The sequence below is a fragment of the Homo sapiens genome, chromosome 1 (assembly GCF_000001405.40).
Source record: "Homo sapiens chromosome 1, GRCh38.p14 Primary Assembly".
Classification (NCBI taxonomy): Eukaryota; Metazoa; Chordata; class Mammalia; order Primates; family Hominidae; genus Homo; species Homo sapiens.
The window spans coordinates 44,473,040-44,498,304 of NC_000001.11; the positions used below are offsets into that span (position 1 = coordinate 44,473,040).

Consider the following 25,265-nt stretch of genomic DNA (forward strand, 5'->3'; position numbering starts at 1 on the left):
GTGTGTGTTTCCCCACGTCCTCTGCTTTCCTGGGACTACACTAGGCAGGGCAGGAGGAGGCAGGTGGGCAGAGGAATAGCAGCCGTTTGTTCTGGAGGCCCCTTCCTTCTCCCGTCTTGACTGCAAAGGGCTGGAAAGTCAGCTTCTATTGTGATTAAGTTATAATTTAAGGCAGTGAACATGTGCTCTGCTGGCGGCTATAAAGATTCAAATCATAAAGTTTTACAGTGGAACGGTTTCTGTAAAAGCATCGTTAGGAAGTGGGAACCATGCCTTTAATTCTTATGACATATGGGACTGCCTGGTTTGTTTTGGTTTCAGTGGAGTTTAGTAGGGTGATGGTCTGACTAATTAAAGTCAGACCTTCTTCCTCTCCACAATGCGGTGCCCCATCACAGGACAGTGTAGAAAGGTGGAACTTTTCTCCCCATCTCAGCTCATCAGGGATGGCGGGGGCGGGGGGCGGGGCGGGTCTCAGAAATCAGGAGTAACTCTTTGAAAACTAAATAGTTTAAAATCTCTTCCAACTTACTAGGCTTCATTTCTTGGGGAGTCTATGTGTTCCTCTGTTCCTTTCTGGCCAGGGGCAAACCTCAACAGTGAACCAAGCCTGATTGAAGATAATTTCCTTCAGAGGGGTCAGCTGAGAAGATAATTGGGCTCTGTAACTAGGTCAATGGTAGAAACAAAGAGAATAATAATATCGTAGCTATCTCATCCAACTTCCACCTAACTTACATGCCTGGTTAACCGACACTCTGTATATCCTGTATAAAACATTCTAACTGATGCCCACGACATACTATTGGCTGATGGTTTTGCTAGTATACAGTATGGCCACTTACTGCCATTCCCATGCGTTATCTTGTGTGCTTACCATAACTCAGCTGTACTTGTTTCTAAGCCTCTTTATACCAGTGCTAGTTATTATTGCAATTACCTAATTTCATTAAGTACAGTCGGCCTTCTGTATTCACAGATTCCGCATCCACAGATTCTACCAACCACGGATCAAAAATATTCAAGAAAAAAAATAAAAAAATAATAATAATAGACCGGGTGTGGTAGCTCACGCCTATAATCCCAGCACTTTGGGAAGCTGAGGCAGGTGGATTACCTGAGGTCAGGAGTTCAAGACCAGCCTGGCCAACATGGTGAAACCCCGTCTCTACTAAAAATACAAAAATTAGCTGGGCCTAGTGGTGTGTGCCTGTAATCCCAGCTACTTGGGAGGCTGAGGCAGGAGAATCGCTTGAACCCGGCAGGCGGAGGTTGCAGTAAGCCGAGATCACGCCATTGCATTCCAGCCTGGGTGACAGAGCGAGACTCTGTCTCCAAAAATAATAATAATAATAATAATAATAATAATAATAATAATAATAATAGGCTGGGAGTGGTATGGCTCACACCTGTAATCCCAACACTTTGGGAGGCCAAGGAGGGAGAATCGCTTAAGACCAGGAATTCAAGACCAGCATGGGCTGCACAGCAAGACCCTGTCTCTTCAGAAAATTTAAAAATTAGCTGTGTGTGGTGGCATGCACCTGTAGTCCCAGCTACTTGGGAAGCTGAGGCAGGAATGTCACTTAAGCCCAGGAGTTCCAGGCTGCAGTGAGCTATGATCACACCATCGCACTCCAGCCTGGGTGACAAGGCGAGACCCTGTCTCCGAAAAAATAAAAACAAAAACAACAATACAAAAATAAATATAAATATAAATATAAGAACTATTTACATAGCATTTGCATTATGTTAGGTGTTGTAAGTATCTAGAGATTATTTAAAATATACAAAAGGATATGTGAAGGTCATATGAAAATACTATGCCACCTTATATAAGGGAATTGAGCATCCAAGTGTTTTGGTGTCTGGAGGGTCTCCTGGAACTAATCCGCCATGGATACGAAGGGACAACTGTATTTTGTAAACGCAGTGATATACAATTGGAGAATTTTTTTTTTCTATGAAAGCCAAGTTGAAAATTATGGCGAATCCCTAAAATAATTGCTGTTGAAAGATATGTGGGTAAGACTGAGGAAAAAAAAATCACAACAGTCTAGGAATTTGCACTCTAATTGCTTTAAGTTCTTGTTCCACTAAAAACTAAAATTGTAGACAATGTGTTTTGGGTGTGATTTATGCAGGAAAGATCTGAAAAGCCAGTCAGCAGACACATACCTTTGGCCCTACATCAAAAACTTGGAGAATGAATCTATATTTATATTTTTTAAGTTAAAATAAAATGTTCAGGCTGGGCGCGGTGGCTCATGCCTGTAATCCCAGCACTTTGGGAGGCCGAGGCGGGCGGATCACTTAAAGTCAGGAGTTCAAGACCAGCCTGGCCAACATGGTGAAACTCCGTCTCTACTAAAAATACAAAAATTAGCCGGCATGGTGGCGCATGCCTGTAATCCCAGCTACTCAGGAGGCTGAGGCAGGAGAATCACTTGAACCTGGGAGGCAGAGGTTGCAGTGAGCCGAGATCGAGCCACTGCACTCCAGCCTGGCAACAGTGTGAGACTCGGTCTCAAAAAAAAAAAAAAAAAAAAAGTTCAAGGTAAGTATATATCTCTGTTTAATGATATACAGGACTTTTCAGATTAATCATCCAATGCATTGAATAAGAGAGTTTCTCTGTAATAGGATTTATCATCTATTGGGTGCCATTATTGAGTGTATTAATCTCTACAGAGGCTGGGCGCAGTGGCTCACACCTGTAATCCCAGCACTTTGGGAGGCCGAGGTAGGTGGATCATGAGGTCAAGAGATCAAGACCATCCTCGCCAACATGGTGAAACCCTGTCTCTATTAAAAATACAAAAATTGGCTGGGTGTGTTGGCGCACACCTGTAGTCCCAGCTACTCAGGAGGCTGAGGTAGGAGAATCAGTTGAACCTGGGAGGCAGAGGTTGCAGTGAGCTAAGATCGCCAGCCTAGTAATAGAGCAAGACTCCATCTCAAAAAAAAAAAGAAAGAAAAAGAAAAAAGAAAATCAGTTGCAGAAGAATATATACAGTATGATATACATGCTTATAAAGTTCCAAAACAAGCAAAACTAAGCAATATATTGCTTAAGAACATATATATATATTTGGTAAGCTATAAAGAAAATAGGGACCTGAGGGGGAGAAAAATCTGAGATGCTAGTTCTGTGGGTGGGATGGGGAAGTAGGGACTTGGGGTCCAGAAGGAGCACATAAGAGATGCCAACTGTGAGTAGTCATGGTCTATTTCTTAAGTGGGATGGTGGTTCACAAATGTTCATTTTATTGGGCTTCATAACTTTCACGTAACTCATATATAATGTTTAATAAAAGTTTAATGCCTTGAAGAAGGAAAAGAAAATAGAAAAGTACGGAGATTAAAGTCAAAGATCTTGACTTGAAGAAATTTAGAGTTAGAAAAGCCAGAAAGCCAAACCTCCAGAAACAATGAGCTTAGCTGGGTAGTTGTACCGGGATCCATGCCCTGACTGCTGTTTCTACCCTGTCCTTAGGAGAAGATCTCCAGGCTTCCCAGGCCCTCTTTCTCTCACAGTGTGTGGTCTGTGGCCCTAGAAATATTGCAAAGACTGTTATTGAGACCTTGTAGTTGGGGCAGCAAATACTACAGGGAGGAAGCTTGAGAGAGCCTAGGGAAGGCAGATGTTAGAGTCACTGGGTTGTGGGCTTGCAACCATCAGGCTAGAGATAGCCTTGGGCTTCAGGTTTCTGTCACAGCCTTGAGGCAAGCTCTGTGTGTCTGTATGGGATTTTTGTGAGCGTGCTTGTGTTTTCAGGGTGGATAGACTAATCAAACTTTATGAAAAAGTTTGCTCTGGCCTTAGCAGAAACAGCAGATGGCCTGAGCTGCATCTTTGACCCAGAGTCCTAATGCTGGTCCAGAAGCAAGCAGGGAAAGTGTAAGCAAAGAGCCCATCAGTTATGTGTTTTGGCCAAATTGGTTGGTTAAGCTACCAAGCAAGCAACCTAATTCCTTGGGAAGCACAGCTCATTAGGAAGGGAACAAAATCATTCTTATTAAAAATAAGAGGAATGGAAAGAAATTGAATTACATTTTCTAAAGCTGCTCAAAGAGTATGCAAAGTGTTTCCTAACATATGCATATGAAGTTCATTCACTCACTTAAAAAATTCTTTCATTCAGTAAATATTTACTAGCAGTCCAGTATCCACCAGTCTTAATCCTACACTTTGGGAATGCATTGGTGAATAAATGAACATGGTCCCTTCCCTTGTAAGGCTTATAGTCCAGTGGGGAAAAGAAGTAAACATAGAATTATTTATTGTTACAAATGCGGATGAATGCTGTGAAATAAATCGCACAACTATCTAGAATAATAGGGTGATCTATCAAGAGTGGTCTCTGATGAAATGCATTTAAATTAAGAACTGAAGTTAAGGCCTGCAATGAGCAAGGACATTTCAAAAAGAAGGAACAGGTATTTTAATGGTCCTGAGGCAGAAAAATGCTTGTTTGCATTTGAAGAATGAGAACCAATCAGCTATTGCTACATAAAAAGCATCCACAAAAATCTCCTTTGCATACAACAGCACTTACTTCTCATGCATCTGTAGGTGATCTGATCTAAGCTCAGCTTGGCCAGGAACCTCTGCTCCTTGTAGTAGGTCTAATCCAAAGATGTTCATTCTGCAGCTTAGGCTGAATAGACAGTAGCTACCTGGGGAGAGCTCTTCTCTCCAGGAGGACCAAGCACACAAGTACATGCTTGGGTCACATCTGCTAATGTGCCATTAGCCAAAACAATCACAAAACTGAGTCAAAAGTCAAGAAGCAGGTAAACTTCTCCATGGAGGTAGTTGGGGAGTAAATGTTTTTGAACAATAATCTAATCTACAACAGTACATTTCTTTGTGAATATTCACATCCCTCCCACCTGCAAAATACATTCACCCACAATCCCAAGACTCCCCCAGTTTTTATTTCATTTATTTATTGAGACAGGGTCTCGCTCTGTCACCCAGGCTGGAGTGCAATGGCACAATCTCGGCTCACTGCAGCCTCTGCCTCCTGGGTTCAAGCGATTCTCCTGTCTCAGCCTCCCAAGTAGCTGGGATTACAAGGTATGCACCACCACACCCGGCTAATTTTTATATTTTTAGTAGAGACGGGGTTTCACCATGTTAGCCAGTCTGGTCTCAAACTCCTGACCTCAAGTGATCTCCCTGCCTCCGCCTCCCAAATGCAGCCTCCCCCAATTTTTACTCAAATCATGGTACTTGGCTTAAGATCCAGGATCTTATCATCTGTATATCAGGCCTAAATATGGTTTCTCTTGATCTGAAGACCTAAGAACTTAAAAAAATCCCATTCAACATACAGTGGTAGAATACAGGATAGCAGCAATAAATTATTCCATTCAAAAAAAAAAGGGAAGAACTGCCAGGCGTGGTGGCTTCTGCTTGTAATCCTAGCACTTTGGGAGGCCAAGGTGGGTGGATCACCTGAAGCTAGGAGCTCGAGACCAGCCTGGCCAACATGGTGAAAGCCCGTCTCTACTAAAAATACAAAAATTAGCTGGGCGTGGTGGCACATGCCTGTAGTCCCAGCTACTCGGGAGGCTGAGGCAAGAGAATCACTTGAACCTGGGAGGCAGAGGTTGCAGCAAGGTGAGATCATGCCACTGGACTCCAGCCTGGGCAACAGAGCGAGACTCTGTCTCTAAAAAAAAGAGAGAGAGAGAAATGAAATCAGAAATCGCCAGTCCATAGCAGTTCTGAAATTCTACTGGGCAAATGTTGACAGGTCCCACGGTCCTAGGGGTTGAGAATGCTCTCTGATTAGGCTCTGATTCTGGATCTCCCATCCATTGTTCCCCGTGGCTGTTGGTGCACTCCTCTGGAAGACCTTCCTTTTCTATCATCCTTGGACATCACCCATGGACACTTCTGAAAAAGATATTAAATAATTTTTGTGGGTGAGCAGCTTTTTTCAGCCTACTGCCTACTTGTAGAAATTTGGGGCCCCAGAAATCTTTTTACATCTTCAATAGTCTCTGTTTCTTTCCGTTGGAGCAGGCAGTCTTTCACCAATACAGCTCTCTCACAAACTTTGTGGATTTTTTTTTTTTTTTTTAGACAGAGTCTCACTCAGTCGCCCAGGCTGGGGTGCAGTGGCGCATTCTCGGCTCACTGCAACCTCCGCCTCCCGGGTTCACGCCATTCTCCTGCCTCAGCCTCCCGAGTAGCTGGGACTACAGGCGCCTGCCACCAGTGCCCAACTAATTTTTTATATTTTTAGTAGAGACAGGGTTTCACCGTGCTAGCCAGGATGGTCTCGATCTCCTGACCTCGTGATCCGCCCACCTCAGCCTCCCAAAGTGCTGGGATTACAGGTGTGAGCCACCGCGCTCGGCCAACTTTGTGGATTTTTATGTGTTTTATACTCATCAACTCTATGTACCACAAGCCACACCCACAATTTTTACAAGACAGAATCTACCGAGACTTAAGTACTGGGAATGTCAGGCTGCTGTAGAACCTTGCTCTTAAGTTTTCTACAAGCTTCATTTTCAGCTGCAAGAGCCTATTAGATGCCATCTGATTTCCTTCAGAGCTTAATACTCTTGATTTTGACTTCACCTGGAAACAGTATCGTTCTTGCCGCACTCTGGATTAGGTCTTTAGCCCCAGGATGGATCTTAATTTGAAAATCTCTTACTAGAGAGATTGGAGATGAGAAAGTTTTATTTTTCAACCCCACAAATTCTGGGTTCTCTATATTCCCACTGAATCCTGCTTGCAAACTAGCCAGTTTTCTGAGTTTATCACTTTCTTGTTAGTGCTTCATCAAATACAGCTAAAAGCAGCCAGCTCATGCTTGCAATGTTTTGCCTTAAGATCCCCTCCTTCACCTTTGCTAGTTTATAAGATACGTTTCCTGCCTTCCAAATTATTGTAGTTTAGTCACAAGTTTACCACTAAATAATACAAGTTGCTATTATTCCCGGCTTTTATACCAGCTTCCTTGCTGCCCACTTGCCTAGTCCCAAAGCCAATGTCACATATCTTTGTGTTTTGTTGTTCTAGTTATAACAGCACCTTGCTATTTAAAATGACTGCAAAGGCAGGGCACAGTGGCTCACATCTACTCCCAGCACTTTGGGAGGCCAAGGCAAGTGGATCACTTGAGTCCAGGAGTTTGAGACCAGCCTGGCCAACATGGTGATATGCCATTTCTACTAATAATACAAAAAAAATCAGCCAGGTGTGATGGTGCATGCCTGTAGTCCCAGCTACTCAGGGGGCTGAGGTGGAAGGAACGCTTGAGCCTGGGACGTAAAGGCTGTGGTGAGCCCTGATCGTGCCACTACACTCCAGCCTGGGCAACAAAGTGACTCTGTCTCAAAAATTAATTAATTAATTAATTAAGTGATTGCAAAAGATGAAATGAAAATGAATGGTGTAAAAGAGAGAAAATAAAAGGGCACAGACCCAAGCCCTGGATAACTCTAACATTTAAAGATGTGGTAGAGGAAAAGAAGAAAGGAGTCTGAGAAGGAATGGACAATAGAGATCATAAAACCAAGGAGGAAAAAGGAGTGTTTTAAAAGAGAAAATGGGCCGGGGGCAGTGGCTCACGCCTGTAATCCCAACACTTTGGGATCACTTGAGGTCAGGAGTTCAAGACCAGCCTGGCCAACATGGTGAAACCCTGTCTCTATTAAAAATACAAAAATTAGCTGGGCATGGTGGGGCACGCCTGCAGTCCCAGCTACTTGGGAGGCTAAAGCAGAAAAATTGCTGGAACGTGGGAGGCAGAGGTTGCAGTGAGCTGAGATTGTAACACTGCACTCCAGCCTGGGCAACAGAGTGAGACTCCGTCTCAAAAAATAAAGTAAAATAAAATAAAATAGAAAATGATGAGTTACGTCAAATGCTCCTGGGAGATCAAGGACAGAGATGTACATGTCTTCAGGATTTGGCAATATGGAGGGCAATAGGTCACTTTGAGAACAGTTTAGTGGAATGACAGGGCAAATTCAAGTTGACATGAATTGAAGAGCTAATAGGGGGTGAGAAAATGTATGCAGCAGATGTAGACAACACCTTGGAGGTGTCTGGGGATAAAGAAGAGCAGAAGACTGAGCGTGGTGGCATACGCCTGTAATCCCAGCACGTTGAGAGGCTGAGGTGGGAGGATTGCATGAGCCCGGGAGTTCAAGACCAGGTTGGGAAACATAGTGAGACTCCATCTCTGCAAAAGAATTTTAAAAATTAGCTGGGTTTGATGACGTGCACCTGTAGTCCCAGCTACTTGGGAGGCTGAGGCAGGGGGAATCACTTGAGCTCAGGAATTCGAGGCTGCAGTGAGCTGTGATCGCCCTGCTGCACTCCATCCTGGGTTGGCCATCATCCTCAGCAAACTAACACAAGAACAGAAAACCAAACACCGCATGTTCTTACTCATAACTGAGAGTTGAACAATGAGAACACATAGACCCAGAGAAGGGAACAACACGCACACAGGGCCTGTTGGGAGCTGGAGGTTGAGCGGGGGGTACTTAGAGGATGGGTCAATAGGAGCAGAAACCACCATGGCACACATACACCTATGGAACAAACCTGCACGTTCTGTACATGTATCCCTTTTCTTTGGTTTGTTTTTCTTTAGAAGAAATAAAGGGGGAAAAAAAGAAGAGCAGAAAAATATGATGGCAAGTGGAGAGGATGTGGAATCAAGAGAGAGAACTTTTTTGTTCTTGAGAGAAGATAGCAGTGCATGTGTGTGTGTGCTGGTGGAAGTGATCCAGGCAAAGAAAAAGACTGACAGTCAAGAAACAGAGATGATGAAGCAGTTTAAAAGACAAGAAGGGATGGAATCCAGACCACTTGTGAGGGATTAGACTTCAGTCGTAAGAGGGTCATTCTCTCAGTTGTAACAGGAGAGAACAAGGAGCAGATGAAGTTAATTCAGAGATAAGAAGCCAAAACAATGAGCACCCGCTTTTCCTGGGTGCCTGCTCTGTGTCAGGCATTGCACCAGAAGTTCTGCATGCAGTACTTGGGCCCCTTGATTTTGGTTTTATTTCATTCCCATTTTACAGACAAGAAAACAGAAGCTTAAAAGGTTAATTTTCCTAAAGTTTCTCAACTTACAAGTAGCAGAACTGGGATTCAAACCCCATCCATCTGACCATGAACCCATATTTGATTTCTATTCCAAACAGATTCATTTTTCCATAGAGAAATAATGTTCAAAAAATGAGACAAAACTAAGAATACACGGCCTGCAGACCAGACCTGGTCTAGTCTGGATCCCTGGGGCTCCCTTCTCAGGGGAGCAGGAGGGGTGGAGGGCAGTTGCTGTGGTGAAGACATTTGAAGGAAGTGGGGAGAGAAGACTGATACTAACTCCAGTCCGTTCACCTTTTAGATACTGCATATTTTTCAAAGAATTTTTGTGTTCCTTCTCTCAGTGAGCAATGAATAGCTTCAGTGGAGCTAGAAATCTTTCTGTAGGAAGAAAGGAGCTATGCTCTGGTTGTCATGAGGCATTTGAGTTCTAGGGGATCTGAAATAGGATTCTTCACATTTATCCTTGGCATAGTCTAGGGTAATTCAGTAAATTTTTTTTTTTTTAGACAGAGTCTTGCTCTGTCACCCAGTCTGGAGTGCCGTGGCACAATCTCAGCTCACTGCAACCTCTGCCTCTCAGATTCCAGTGATTCTCGTGCCTCAGCCTCCTGTGTAGCTGGGATTACAGGCATGTGCCACAATGCCTGGCTAATTTTTGTATTTTAATAGAGACAGGGTTTCACTATGTTGGCCAGGATGGTCTCAAACTCCTGACCTCAAGTGATCTACCTGCCTCGGCCTTCCAAAGTGCTGGGATTGTAAGAGTGAGCCACCACACCCAGCCTTTTTTTTTTTTTTTTTTTTTTTTTGTCCAGATGGGATATTGCTCTGTAGCCCAGGCTGGAGCGCAGTGGAACGATCGTGGCTTACTGCAGCCTCAAACTCCGGGATTCAGGCAGTCCTCCTGCCTTAGCCTCTGGAATAGCTAGAATTACAGGTGCACACCATCGCGCCTGGCTACTTTTTCTATGTTTTGTAGAGACAGGGTCTTGCTTTGTTGCCCAGGCTGGTCTCAAACTCCTGGGTTCAAGCCATCCTCCCGACTTAGCCTCCCAAAGCGCCAGGATTGCAGGCATGAACTACCATGCCCAGCCCAAGCATAGTATTAATACACACCTTTTAAAAGGATGAGTTCCATCCCTTTGCAGCCGGTTAGACCTGTTCTACCTTGCTCAATGTCAGAAGCCCAGCTTTTAAATACTGTTCTAGATCAGAAGGGAAACCAAATGAAAATGTGTGGAAGAACTATGTCCAGGCTCACAGCACTATTTTAGAAAGCATCTCAACAATGGAGTCAGGAAAGGGAGAAGTGCCATGCCCATATCAGAAAATATACTCATCATACTAACATGTACAGTGCTTTGTGCTCATTCATTTAGCAGATACTGAGCTAGTACCAGGTTCCAGGCCCAGAGCTAGCTAAAGGGGTATGGAGGTAAATGAGGCTCTTCTCCAGACCTTGAAGAACTCCTGAGCTAGTGGGCTAGCAGGTTACTCTGAAGAGGTGTTCAATGAAGATATGTCTGAGGAGCTATGAGAACATAGCGGTGGCAGGCTAGATAAGGGGTCAGATCAGAGAGGGCCAAAGAGTATAAGCAGTGGTGCAACTTGATCTGATTTGAGATTATGATTTATAGTTTGCTTTTGCATATTTCATTATTTTGTTTAAATCAGATGTTCATAGCCTTCCCTCTTAGGATTTTTTCTGCCTTGAGCCTTCCAAAACGTATCAGAATGCAGCTTGTCTGGTGTGTGAGAAACCCCTGAAGCTGTGAGCCCCCTTTCCAGGAGTCTGGGCTCACTGCTAGCCTTGGCCCTCCTAAGCCCCTTACCCTTGCTTTTCCTAGGCAAGCAGTGAAATGTCTCCAAAATCTGGGAATAACTGTTTCCCAGCCTTGGGCTGGTTCTCCTTCCTTCCTTGTTCTTCACAAGCTGTAGAGCCTCCTGAGGTGGGGTCGAGGCATCTCATTTTCAGGGTTTATTAGGGTAGGCTAATGACTACATCCAACAAATCCTTTTTAGAAGGCAGTCACATAGCGGTGCCTTTGGAATTCAGGTTGAGCCGTCCCCTAGGGTTCAGGATCCCCCTGCTGGATGCTGTAACTGGCATAGAAGAAAAAAAAGAGCATGAAGGGTCAAGTAGGAGACTTTTATTGGCCCAGGGGAAATGGCTTACATCACCTCCACCTACGATCCAGTGAGTGGAATTCCTATCTAACTGCGAGGGAGGCTGGGAATGCAGTCGAGCTGTGTGCCCAGGAAGAAGAGGAAGAAGTGAGCACATAGCAAACTGCCGCACAGTGGGTAGAACTGACAAAGACAGTAGACTGCTGAGCACCAGTGAGTACGAAGGCAACAGCCACAGGATCCCCCTGTGGCCGTGTCTGGAGACATAGCACGTACTTGGGGCTTTAGGTGGGAGGACTGGCAGAGGCCACTCCATGAACGAAAGGAGGCTGGGCACCAGGGGCTGAGTAAGAACTGTTTTGAACAGAATGGGAGCTGACTCACATCTGGAGGAGGGTTCTCAGGTGGGGTCCCTCGGTATTGCTGTAACTGGGTCAATCTGATTGTCTCTCTTCAACCTTTTTCAACCATGGTAAGCACGAATGCCCTAAGCCATTGACTGTAATTAATGAATTTCTCTCCTATGCATCTGGATTGTACAGTCTAGATGTACAAGTTGTACTATCCTTGGGAGAACTAAGAAAATAGTTGCTCTGACAGCCGGGCACGGTGGCTCACGCCTGTAATCCCAGCACTTCGGGAGGCCAAGGCAGGTGGATCACAAGGTCAGGAGATCGAGGCCATCCTGGCTAACACGATGAAACCCCATTTCTAGTAAAAATACAAAAAATTAGCTGGGCATGGTGGCACGTGCCTGTAGTCCCAGCTACTTGGGAGGCTGAGAATCACTTGAACCCGGGAGGCGGAGGTTACAGTGAGCTGAGATCGTGCCACTGCACTCTAGCCTGGGCAACAGATCGAGACTCCATCAAAAAACAAAGAAAAGAAAAGAGTTGCTTAGGTAATTGTTCTGTCTTTGTGGCTCAGTTGAGGAACCCTGGCTGAGAAACCCCTGCCTGAAGAGATGCAAACAGCATTTTATATTTGAGGCAAATGCTCTAGACTATTCTCTCCCTCCCCCCAATCTCCTGCGCCCTGAAAGGAAACAAACTGATGTCATGAGAAATTCCTTTCTAATAACAAAAACAAATGGGAGGTCTCCCGGGATTGTTCCTATGGAGAGACAGTGGTTGTGTAAGAATGAGAAAACAGTGACTCCTGCTCAGGGTTCTGGTTAAGTAGCAGGTAGAATTTTTCCAACATCATTTTGAATCAAGAGAGGCACCGAAATCACTGTAGTAAAATCTTCGAGTGGGAAAAATATAAAGAAAACAAAATCCAACTAAGGCCGTTTTTCCCCAGGAAAGGCATTAGTCAGGCAGCCGCTGGAGCCAGCCACCTCTCAAGAGCCTGTTTTTCAGTGTCACTGCGGTGACTCTCCATGCTCTGGGTTTTAATTCTAGCCTCTAATCTCAGTCGCTTCTGTGATAAATTAATTGTAATAATAGAGGCCCCAGTTACGAGGTCTGCACCGTTTGCTTGTAATGTGAGCGACAGGTTTAGGGCCTGCTTTATTTAAGATGCTGGGGTAATTACATGGGAGTTAGCATATGCAGGCAGAGATATGATTCATTCTTCCAGCCACAAGCATGACACAGCTGTTTGCGGGATAAAATAGGGGAACCGTGTTGTTACAAAATGTTCCCCTTATTATACCTCATTAAAAACAAGGCTGTGATAAGTCAGGACTGGCAATGAAGAAAATCTATTGCCCCTCTGTAAAACCTGATAGGAGAGGGCTTAGAGCTATGCTGTGTCATTTTATTTTTTATTTATTTTTACTTTTTTATTTTTTTGTCCTTTCTCTGACTCTTTTCTCCCTATTATTCAGCAACTCTCTGAATACTTGGGGAAGGAACAGTCTCCCAGACCGTCTTCCTTTCTTCTTATGAAATAGGGGCTGCCCTTTCCTTGCTTAGCTAAAGCTGAGAATGTTCAGAAAGAGCATTCGCCCAGAACAAAGTGAAAGGGGGGGGCCTTTGGGCGACCTGTCCCAATTTTGTCCTCATCACCTTTAACAGGAGCACATAGGCTGAGAGAGCTCAGAGGCTCCAGCAGGGGCCAGAGCTTCAAAGTCAGAGAAAATCACGGGCAATAGACAGAGGCTCATTCCTTTCAAGAGACAGACATATGTTCTCTTCCCCCGTCATCTTTCTTTTTAAAAATAACTTTAAAATTTAAAATGAATTTTGGCCTCATTTTTCTTCTTCTTTTCTCTCTCTCCAAGGTTACTAGTGAGAGCTTAAACCAACATGCAGATTAACATTGATCTATGGACCCAGGGCCAAATAAATCAGGCTGGTTTTTTATCAAAATGGTTGGTTAGGAAAAATAAGCATCACAGTATAGAATAGTCTTCAGCAATACCTACCTAGGGCCATTCCAGAAGAGCTGTTCCATGACACGTCCATGTGTCTGTTGAACGGTAAAGCCCACTTGGGAAGCCATGGAGCTTCATGGCTAAGAGTGGGCTGGGAAGCTTGACTGCCTGGGTTCAAATCTTAGCTCCACCACCACCTCCTAGCTGTGTGGACTTGGGAAGTTGAGCCAATGTCTCCAGGAGTCAATCTTCACAATCTACCAAATGAAATTGGCAATAATATTATCCACCTCTAGGGTTGTTCTAAGGAATAAATAAGATAATCCATGCAAAAAGCCTAGAACAATGCCTGGCAAACAGCAAGTGCTCAATAAATGTTAACTATTATTATAAGTAACACAATTAACAGCAGCAAACTGCTTTAGCCCAGGTTGTGTGTTAGAATTAGAAGGACGGTTTAAAAATTGTCATCCAGGTGCGGTGGCTCACACCTGTAATCCCAGCACTTTGGGAGGCTGAGGCGGGCAGATCATCTGAGATCAGGAGCTCGAGACCAGCCTGGCCAACATGGTGAAACCCTGCCTCTACCAAAAATAGAAAAATTAGCCAGGCATGGTGGTGCATGCCTGTAGTCTCAGCTACTTGAGGGGCTGAAGCAGGAGAATCACTTGAACCTGGGAGGCAGAGGTTGCAGTGAGCTGAGATTGCGCCATTGCACTCCAGCCTGGGTGACAGATCGAGACTCTGTCTCAAAAATAAATAAATAAATAAATAAATAAATAATTTTAAAAAATAAAAAATAAAATAAAATGGTGGTTGCTGCAACAGAAGTAAGGACTATACCCTGATTTGTGACCCTTTTGCAGAATTTGGGTTTTGAGAGTAAAGTCTCAAAATTTAGGATGGAGATAAAGGGAGAGAAGCCCCTGGGCATCCTTGTTTGTTTGAGTTATAAAGTAGGGACGTGGGCCGAGCATGGTGGCTCCCACCTGTAATCCCAGCACTTTGGGAGGCTGAGGAGGATGGATCACTTGAGGTGAGGAGTTTGAGACCAGCCTGGCCAACATGGTGAAACCCCATCTCTACTAAAATAATAATAATAATAATAATAATAATAATAATAATAACAATAATAATAATACAAAAATTAGCTGAGCATGGTGGCACACACCTGTAATCCCAGCTACTCAGGAGACTGAGGCAGGAGAATTGCTTGAACCTGGGAGGTGGAGGTTGCAGTGAGCCGAGATTGCACCACTGCACTCCAGCCTGGGTGACAGAGTGAGACTCTGTATCAAAAATAAATAAATAAATATAAAAATAAATAAACTAGGGACCTGCTCACTTTAGTAATAGGAGTATCTTAGAGTGGTAGCCTTTTGGCACTGCGATTTTTTTTTTTTTGAGACAGAGTCTTGCCCTTTCACCCAGGCTGGAGTGCAGTGGCATGATCACAGCCCACTGCAGCCTCGACCTCCCAAGGCTCAGGTGATCCTTCTGCCTCAGTCTCCTGAGTAGCTGGGATTACAGGCAAGCACCACTATGCCTTGCTGATTTTTTTTTTTTTTTTGAGACAGAGTCTCACTCTGTTGCCCAAGTTGGAGTTCAGTGGCACGATCTCGGCTCACTGCAACCTTCGCCTCCTGGGTTCAAGTGATTCACCTGCCTCAGCCTCCCGAGTAGCTGGGATTATAGGCGTGCGCCACCACACCCGACTAATTTTTAGTAGAGGACAGGGTTTCACCATGTTGGCCAGGCTGGTCTCGAACTCCTTACCTCAGGTGATCCACCCGCCTCAGCCCCCCAAAGTGCTGGGATTACAGGCGTGAGCCACCACACCCGGCCATGCCCTGCTAATTTTTATATTCTCAGTAGAGACAGGGTTTCGCCATGTCATAATTTTTTATTTTTACTAGAGATGGGGTATTGCTGTGTTTCCCAGGCTGGTCTTGAGCTCCTGAGCTCAAATGATCCTCCTGCCTCAGCTTCCCGAAGTGCTGAGATTGCAGGCGTGGGCCACCATACCCAGCCTGCACTGTGCTCTATAGTAAGAAATATGTTTTACATCATGACTCAGTACACATGAACAACTGAAACAAAAGTTTCACAAAAATAGTACTTAGCCTTTTTCTTTTTCTTTTTTCTTTTTTTTTTTTTTTTTTTTTGAGACGGAGTCTCACTCTGTCACCCAGGCTGGAGTGCAGTGGTGCTATCGGGCTCACTCTAACCTCTGCCTCCCAGGTTCAAGTGATTCTTCTGCCTCAGCCTCCCAAGTAGCTGGGACCACAGGCGCACGCCACCACACCCAGCTAAGTTTTCCTATTTTTAGTAGAGATGGGGTTTCGCTATGTTGGCCAGGCCAGTCTCTAACTCCTGGCCTCAAGTGATCTGCCAGCCTTGGCCTCCCAGATTGCTGGGATTGCAAGTGTGAGCCACCACTCCTGGCTCTATTCTATTGTATTTAATTAAAAAGTGCTCATTACCACTCTAGGTTGATATCATCCTTCAATAATGGATCTCACTTTGCAAGCAAAAGGCACTTGGTTAGTAATTGAGTTGAAGCGTTCTTGTATTCTGGAGGAAAAGGAACACATGAACATGGCATGTTCAGGGTACAGCAAGTTCTAAAACACTGCTGGAGCAAAAAAAGTTGTACCGAAGAGGTAGGTAAGGGGCCACGTGATATAAAATCTTATATAGACTACAAATAAGTAGCATCAGACAAGCATTTGATACTAAGAGATAATACACATTTCCGTATAACTATACATACTATGAAGCAGAAGATGGTAAACACTGTAAGAACAATTCGATAAGCTGTCTTGGGAGTTCAGAGGAAAGGGAGATGGCTTTCAGCTGGGAGCTCCTCGTATTCTTTGAGATTCTGTTATACAATTGTTCATGCATTCATGTATTTAGTGAATACACATTGAGTTCCCACTATGTGCCAGGCACTTGCCCTTGGCTGTCATCCATCTACCTGGTTAAAACCACATGAGGATGACTTAGATTTTCAGCTGCCTGTTGCACATTTTTCAGCACGAAAAAGCAAAAGTCTTTTTCTCGAAATCTCAGGGAAAGTCCTGGTGCATTCCTTTGGCTTTGATTCACGCCCATTCCTGAACCAATCATTGAGGCCAGGGAGAAGTCATCCTTCAACTGTGTAATGCCTGGGTCACATTCATGACCCCGCAGTTGAATGCAAGGGCAGAATCTGCTTCACCAGAATCCCATTGGCTGAAATAGGGGAAAGGGTAGTCTTGAATATCCCCTTTTGTCTCGCAGCTCTAAGTCTTTACTCAAGCTGTTTCTACCACCTGGGAAATGGTCTATCATCTCTTTGCCTAGCTGGTGTGTTACTATTTGTCCTTACAAACCCTGCTCAGTCGTTATCCCTATTGTAAAATGTACTTTGTTAGAACTAATTACTTTTTTTTCTATGTTCTTTTTTGTTTTACACATAATTCTATCTTTGAATTTCTATATTATTAAACTAAACCGTTCTTCGTAAGACCAGTTGAGTAGCAAAATATGAAATCAACTAGAAAGGGAAATACTGGATATGTTTCTTAAGGATAGTTAAAGATAATAAATAAGGTATCAGCCGGGCGTGGTGGCTCATGCCTGGTAATCCCAGCACTTTGGGAGGCCGAGGCAGGTGGATCACCTGAGGTCAGAAGTTCAAGACCAGCCTGGTCAACATGATGAAACCCCGTCTCTAGTAAAGATAAAAAAAATTAGCCAGGCGTGGTGGCGAGCGCCTGTAATCCCAGCTACTCAGGAGGCTGAGGCAGAAGAATCACTTGAACCCAGAGGTTCACTGCAGAGGTTGCAGTGAGCTGAGATTGGGCCATTGTGCTCCAGCCTGGGCAGCAAGAGCGAAACTTCATTCCAAAAAAAAAAAAAGAAATAATAAGGTATCAAAGGAGGAATCACAATAGAAATTGGTACCTTTAAATAGATAAAAATGAAAACACAACACCAAAACTTATGACATACAGCTAAAACAGCACTCAGAGGGAAATTTATAGCTGTAAATGCCTATACTTTAAAAAGAAGAAAGATGTTATATTAATAACTTAACCTTCCAATTTAAAAACTGAAAAAAAGAGCAAACTAAACCCAAAGCAAGCAGAAAAAAGGAAATAAAGATGAGATCATAAATAAATGAAATATAGAATTGAAAGACAAAGAAGAACATCAACACACCCAAAAATTGGTTCTTTGGAAAGATCAATAAATTGAAAAACCATTAGCTAGAATGAATAAGAACAAGAGAGAGGACTCAAATTACTAAATCAGGAATGGAAGAGGAGACATCACTACCAGACTTACAGAAATAAAAAAAGCATTATAAGAGAATATTATGTACAAATATATGCCAAAAAGTTAGATAAATCAGATAAAATGAACAAATTTCTAGAAAGCACAAACTGCTGAAACTGACTCAAGAAGAAGAAAAATCTGCATAGACCTATAACAATTAAGGAAATTGAATTGCTAATTTTAATATTTCCCACAAAGAAAAGTCCAAGTCCAGATTACTTCACTGGTAAATTCTACCAAACATTTTAGAGAACAATTAATACCAGTTCTTCACCAAGTCTTCCAAAGAATACAAGAAAGAGGGAACCTTTCCCAAATTATTTCATGAAGCCACTATTACTCTGATACCAAAACCAGGCAAACATATCACAAAAAAATAAAACTTTAGACAAATAACTCTTATGAACATATATATATATGTATATATAAATCTGCAACAAAATTCTAGTGAACCAAAGCCAGTGACGTATAAAAAAAATTATATACTGTGACCACGTGGGATTAACTCCAGGAGTGCAAAGTTGGTGTAAGATACAAAATAAATCAATGTAATATACCATATTAATACAAGAGAGAACAAAAGCTATATGATCATCTCAATAGATGCAAAAAAACCATTTCACAAAATTCAGCACCACTTCATGATAAAAACATTCAACAAACTAGGAATAGAAGGGGCCTTCCTCCATGCTTAATGGTGAAAGACTGGATGCTTCCTCCCTAAGATCAGGAACAAGACAAGGATGTCCACTCTTTTTTTTTTTTTACTTTTGAGACAAGGTCTCACTCTGTCGTCCAGGCTGGAGTGCAGTGGCATGATCTCAGCTCACTGCAAACTCTGTCTCTTTGGTTCAAGCAATTCTCATGCCTCAGCCTCCCGAGTAGCTGGGACCACAGGTGCACACCACCACGCCCGGCTAATTTTTGTATTTTTAGTGGAGATGAGGTCTTGCCATGTTGGCCAGGCTGGGCTTGAACTCCTGGTCTCAAGTGATCCACCCGCTTCGGCCTCCCAAAGTGCTGGAATTACAGGTGTGAGCCACTGTGCCTGGCTGGATATCCACTCTTACCATTTGTATTCAATATAGTACTGGAGGTTTTAGCTAGGGCAATTAGGCAAGAAAATAACAGTCATCAGATTGGAAAGAAAGAAGTAAAGTCAATAATAAACAGAATGACTCAATTTTAAAATGGGCAAAGAATCTGAATATTTATCTAAAGAAGATGTATGAATACTTGGCAAACCCACGAAAAATATTCAATATCTTTAGTCATCAGGGAAATGCAAATCAAATCCACAATGAGAGTCTGCTTTGCACCCATTAGGATGTATATAATCAAAAAGTCAGATAATAGCAAGTGCTGGTAAAAAATGTATAGAAATTGGAAGAACCATATGCTCCCGGGGGGGTGTAAAATAGTGTAACCACTTTGGAAAACAGTCTGGCAGTTCCTCAAAAAGCTGAAGATAGAGTTGCCATTTGTCCCAGCAATTCCACTCCTAGGTATATACCCAAAAGAACTGAAATTAGGTCCACACAAAAATTTGTACACTAATATGCATAGAAGTATTATTCATGATAGCCAAAAGGTGGAAGCAACCCAAATAGCCATCAGCTGATGAATGGATAAACACAAATGTGATTTGTTCATACAATGGAATATTTTTAGCCATAAAAGGAATAAAATACTGTTACATGCTATAACATGGAAGAACGTTGAATACATCATGCTAATTATAAGACATCAGATACAAAAGGCCATGTATTATATGATTCCGTTTATATGAAATATTCAGAACAGGCAAATTTATAGAGACAGAAAGTAGATTAGTAGTTGCCTAGGGCTGGGGTGAGGGGAGGATTGGGGGTGACTGTTTAAAGGTATGGATTTCAGGGGTGATGAAAATGCTCTAAAAGCCATTTGTAGTGACGGCAAGCCAACTGTTTTAATGTACAGGTTGAGCATACCTACTGTGAAAATCCAAAATCTGAAATGCTCCAAAATCTGAATTTTTTTTTTTTTTTATATATGGATGAGGTCTCATTATGTTGCTCAGGCTGGATTCACACTCCTGGGCTCAAGCATTCTTCTTGCCTCAGCTTCCTGAGTAGCTGGGACTACAAATGCATGCTACCTTGCCTGGCTATCCAAAATTTTTGAGCACCAACACGATGCCACAAGTGGAAAACTCCATATTGACCTCATGTGATGGTTCATAATCAAAACACAGTGAAAACTTACTTTCATGCACAAAATTATTTAAATTGTTGTGTAAAATTACCTTCAGGCTATGTGTGTAAGGTATATGTAAAACATAAATGGGCCTGGAGCAGTGGCTTACGCCTGTAATCCCAGCACTTTGGGAGGCCGAGGCGGGTGGATCACGAGGTCAGGAGTTCGAGGCCAGCCTGGCCAACATGGTAAAACTCCGTCTCTACTAAAAATACGAAAATTAGCCAGGCATGGTGGCGGGTGCCTGTAATCCCAGCTACTCGGGAGGTTGAGGCAGGAGAATCGCTTGAACCTGGGAGGTGGAGGTTGCGGTGAGCCAAGATCGTGCCATTGCACTCTAGCCTGGGTGACAAGAGCAAGACTCCGTCTCAAAAAATAAATAAATAAAATAAATAAATAAATAAATTTTGTGTTTAGACTTGGATCCTATCCCCAAGATATCTCATTATGTATATATAAATATTCTAAAATCCCAGATCCAAAAACACTTGTGATCCTAAGCATTTCGGATAAGGGATATGCAACCTGTACTAAAACTACTGAATTTTAGCTGGGCACAGTGGCATGCACCTGTAGTTCCAGCTACTCGGGAAGCTAAGGTTGGAGGATCATTTGAGCCCAGGAGTTTGAGACCAGCCTGGGCAACATAGGGAGATTCCCCCACCTCAAAAAAAAGTAAAAACTCAAATAAAATTATTGAATTTTATGCTTCATATGGGTCTCTGTATGGCATATGAATTATATGTCAATAAAGGTATCTATTAAAAAAGGAAAAAAATGGCCCAGGCACGGTAGTTCATGCCTGTAATCCCAGCATTTTAGGAGGCCAAGGCTGGTGGATGACTTCAGGTCAGGAGTTCGAGACCAGCCTGACCAATATCGTGAAACCCCATCTCTACTAAAAATACAAAATTAGCCGGGCATGGTGGCAGGTGCCTGCAATCCCAGCTACTTGGGAGGCTGAGGCAGGAGAATCGCTTGAACTCAGGAGGCGGAGGTTGCAGTGAGCCAAAATCACACCATTGCACTCCAGCCTGGGCAACAAGAGCAGAAACTCTGTCAAAAAAAAAAAAAAAAAGAATCATGAGGACTTGAACTGGAGCAGTAATGGTGGGGATGGTGGAGAAGGGATGAAGGGATAAACTTAAGAGACATTACGGGGCTAGACAATCTATTAGACTTGCTAAAAATATGATTGATGTACAAGCGAGAAAAAGAAATTAATTCAACTAGAGATATTCTCAGACATGCATGAAATAGCATTTGCAGCATTGTTTGAAACAGCAAAAGTTTGAGACAACCTAAATGTTCCTCTCTAGGGAGCAGGTTAAAAAAATCATAATTTTTTTGCATGGTACAGGCATAACATGGAGCACCAGGCAGCCACCAAAATGAATGAGACAGCTGTTTAGATTACTAATATGCAGTGACCTCCAAGACATATTGTTAAAAAGAAAAAAAAAAGATACAGAACACTAGATTTAATATGCCTCCATTTGTGGAAATGTATTTGTTTGCATATGAAAAAAATATCTGCAAAAGAAACAGATAAAATTGTTTCTTGGGAAGCAGACTCCAGGATCTGGGTAAAAAGAAGACTTTTGCTCTTTCTTTTGGTACCTTTAGAATTTTGAATCCTGTCAATGTATTATTACCTATCAAAAAAAGTAGATAGAATTTAATAAAAACAAATCTCTAACTTGTCTTTTAAAAAGAAGAATCACTTCACAATGAAATTTCTAAGATGCGTGCCTGGGAGTAATGAATAGCACCATTAACAGAAACAGGCCAAGCACAGTGGCTCACGCCTGTAATCCCAGCACTTTGGGAGGCTGAGGCAGGAGGATTGCTTGAGCCCAGGAGTTCAAGACCACCCTGGGCAACATCGCAAGACCTCATCTCTACCAAAAATTTAAAAATTAGCTGGGTGTGGTGGCACACACCTGTAGTCCCAGCTACTCCGGAGGCTGAGGTGGGAGGATCACTTGAGGCTGGGAGGTTGAGGCTGCAATGAGCCATGATCATGCCACTGCACTCCAACCTGGACAACAGAGTGAGACCCTGTCTCAAAAAACAAATAAACAAATAAAACCAGAAACAAAAGATACAAAAAAAAAAAAAGAATAGATTTGGCTGGCAAGATAAATATTTTTAGACTACCACAGTGCTTGGCACAGAGCAGTTGATAATTAAATATCTACTTAATTAATTCAGTAGTGCTAGGCACGAAGGTTACAGCAAGATGATCTCTAAGACTGCTTTCAAAGAATAGATAGTGTAATGGGAATACAGACAACTTAAAAAGTAGTTACAATGAAATGGGGCTGGTACAGATTGCTTTGGAAGCATGTAGTTAGTAAGGGAACGTAACCTAATTTAGTTAGGAGAATGCAGGAGACCTAAAAAATGAATAAAAGTTAGCCAGGGATTACAGGTGTGCGCCACCATGTCCAGCTAATTTTTGTATTTTTAATAGAGACGGGGTTTCACCATGTTGACCAGGCTGGTCTCAAACTCCTGACCTTGTGATCTGCCCACCTTGGCCTCCCAAAGTGCTGGGATTACAGACATTAGCCACAGCGCCTGGCCTGACAAAGAGCTTTCTAGCAGAATAAACTTTGTATATATTGGCCCAGAGGTAAGAGGGTAACAGAAAATAGATCGGGAGAGCTACAGCTCTGGGAAGACAGACATCTGTTTTGCTCCCTGCTGTATCCCAGCATTTAGAGTAGTGTCTAGCACCTTAGTAACCACTCAGCATATGCTTACTGGATGGATGAATGAATGAGTGAATGAACCAGTGGCAAGAGATGATGCTGGAGAGGTAGACAAGGGTCAGTTCGTGCAGGGCTTTTATATATATGCCTTGCTAAGAAGCTTACACTGAATCCTAAAGACTACGGGAAGCTACTGAAGAGGGGCAGAACATGCTCAGATCTGGGTTTTAGAAGGAGCCGTGTAGCTGCAAAGTGGAGAATAAAGAGTAGCTGAGGGATAGCCCAGGTGATGGGGTGGACAGGGGGACCATCCTCCAAGGTGGAAGGACAAATCAATTTGAAGGGGAGAATGAGCTCAGCTTTTGACAAACTGAATTTCAGGTGCCTATGGGAAATCCCAGTGAAGCTGGGGATACAGAGAGTTTTGTGAGGATGGAAATCAGAGGGATCTGGGCTGATGATAGAGAGTCAGAGTCACTAATATTTATAACTGAAGCTGTGGGAGTGAATGAGATATCTCTGGAAGAGGGATAGACAGGCATGAGAATGAATGAATTCATGAATGAATGAAATGCAAAGCCCTGCTCTGAACAGCTTTGGCTAAAGACCTGAGGAATGATTAATGCTAAGGAAAAAAGGGGAAGACTTAAATTAATGAACCACTGCTCCCTCTCAATCCCATGCTGCAGAGCTGAGTCCAAGGGGAAAAAGCCACATGCCCCGGCGTAGGAAAGGGTGACTTGTCACTTCAGCAGGTCCCACTTTTCACCCCTGCCCTTGGCCACCTCCACAGTGGCATGGTTTTCTAGTCCAGGGTGGTGCTGCTGTGTAGCAGATGCATGTGGTGTGGGCTGATGGCCCAGAGCACAGCTCTTCTCTAGCTCTTCCCCTCCCCCCAGCACTGAAACAGCCTCCCCGTCCTCCTAGCAAGTTGCTAAAATTAAAACTTAATCAAGCCAGCTCACTTGGGGATGTGGAATAATTTTGCAGCTCACCCCAGAGAGCAGGGAACTGCTGGGGCAGACAGTGTGAGAGCTGCGGGCGGCACCTCCACCTTCTTGTGGTCCTCCTCCAAACTCCTGTTGGATGGAAAAACTGTGCTGCCTGCCTCCTGCTGGCTTGGTGATTGCCTCAAAGGTGAAGAGTCCTGGCCTGTAATGTCTCCTCTGTGACACTGGCCTAGGGATGGGGATAGGACCCCTGGGACAGTTTCTTCTCTGGCCAGTTCTGCCATTTTCCCTAGATGCTAAGCAACGGTTACACTAGTGTCCCCTTTCCAATAAATTCTGGGCCTTCAAGCCTAGAATTCCCAAGGCATCTCTAGAGGTCCCGTTAAAACAATGCCATCATGACAGACATATTTGATATGTTTGTCTCATCCTTTCCAGTTGTGCCTACCCTACCCACAGTCCAGATACTTTCATAAGGGTCTTCATGGTTCTTGGCACGTATCTATATGATAATCTCCCCTTCCCTGACACACACACACACACACACACACACAGAGTATTGCATTGTTAATACCTGGTCATTCTGTGCTTAGAGACCAAGGTTTTCCTGTATAAAACAACCCTAGGAGTCTCAACCACCAGTGTGGGATAATATCCTCAAGTCTTGAGGGAACATCAGGTCTCATCAGGGTGTGATCAGCCCACAGTTTGTGCCAGTTCCTTTCATCCGCCTGTGGGTGACAATCCCTTCTTGTCCCATCACCACCATGTGATAATCCTCGCCTCCAGCCTTAATATTGTCTAATTGTATGAGACAATCTGTCCAAACAGGTCTTCCTGTGTTAAGGTCAGACCTCGTGAGTATGTGATCATCCCCATCCCTTTCCTTGGTACATGCAAATCTCTCCATTCCCCCAAGTTCAACAATTCCCCTCATCCCTGGTTCATTTACTAGCCACCTTATTGAGCACCTACTATACTGCTGCAAGCACCCCTTTTCTCGTGTCTCCCCTCTTTCTGCTGGAAGTTGCTTCCTAATTGTTAGGATAAATCTTTCTGCAAAGGTAATTATAATTCTTCTCATCTGAACTCCCGAGGGATCTGGACTGGCGCCAAAGGCAAAGGTGCTTGATACTTGGAAAGCTGCTTGTGCTTCCACGTTAAGCAAAAACCAGTGGGGAAAAGCCTGGCCTGGCCAAGTAGGCTGCTGGCTGGAGCCATGGATCAGCCATGGCCTGGCCCCGACCGAGCTCTGACAGTGGTTGCTTCCGGAGACCCAGGCGTGCCAGAAGGAAAGCAACATTTACTATGGGATATATTTGGTGAGTGGCGAAGGTCCCTATTTCTTTCATTTATAGATTCATCCTTCCAATCTACACTTTTTTCTGGGTTCCTAGAAAAGAAAGAACCATTGGCAGATGTGTGGTGTAACTCCAGAGGTCCACATGCTCTTGATAATACCGTCCTACCCCAAGCTCCAGCACACACAGCCT

The 25,265-nt window shown here is 43.5% G+C and overlaps 1 protein-coding gene across 15 annotated transcripts in view, besides 3 other annotated features; it reads left to right on the plus strand.

Annotated features, from left to right (window-relative positions):
- The window catches only part of RNF220 (ring finger protein 220), a 246,942-nt gene that overhangs the window by 68,257 nt on the left and 153,420 nt on the right, over positions 1-25,265 (plus strand). The gene's annotated exons all lie outside the window — the stretch shown is intronic.
- Positions 10,473-11,352: an enhancer, noted in NCBI's record as "H3K27ac-H3K4me1 hESC enhancer chr1:44949184-44950063 (GRCh37/hg19 assembly coordinates)". NCBI's record gives its function as "activates a minimal SCP1, AML or CMV promoter by ChIP-STARR-seq in naive H9 embryonic stem cells {active_cell/tissue: H9 hESC(naive)}" and the evidence as "EXISTENCE:reporter gene assay evidence [ECO:0000049][PMID:30033119]".
- Positions 11,353-12,231: an enhancer, noted in NCBI's record as "H3K27ac-H3K4me1 hESC enhancer chr1:44950064-44950942 (GRCh37/hg19 assembly coordinates)". NCBI's record gives its function as "activates a minimal SCP1, AML or CMV promoter by ChIP-STARR-seq in naive and primed H9 embryonic stem cells {active_cell/tissue: H9 hESC(naive and primed)}" and the evidence as "EXISTENCE:reporter gene assay evidence [ECO:0000049][PMID:30033119]".
- Positions 23,239-23,739: an enhancer, noted in NCBI's record as "H3K4me1 hESC enhancer chr1:44961950-44962450 (GRCh37/hg19 assembly coordinates)". NCBI's record gives its function as "activates a minimal SCP1, AML or CMV promoter by ChIP-STARR-seq in primed H9 embryonic stem cells {active_cell/tissue: H9 hESC(primed)}" and the evidence as "EXISTENCE:reporter gene assay evidence [ECO:0000049][PMID:30033119]".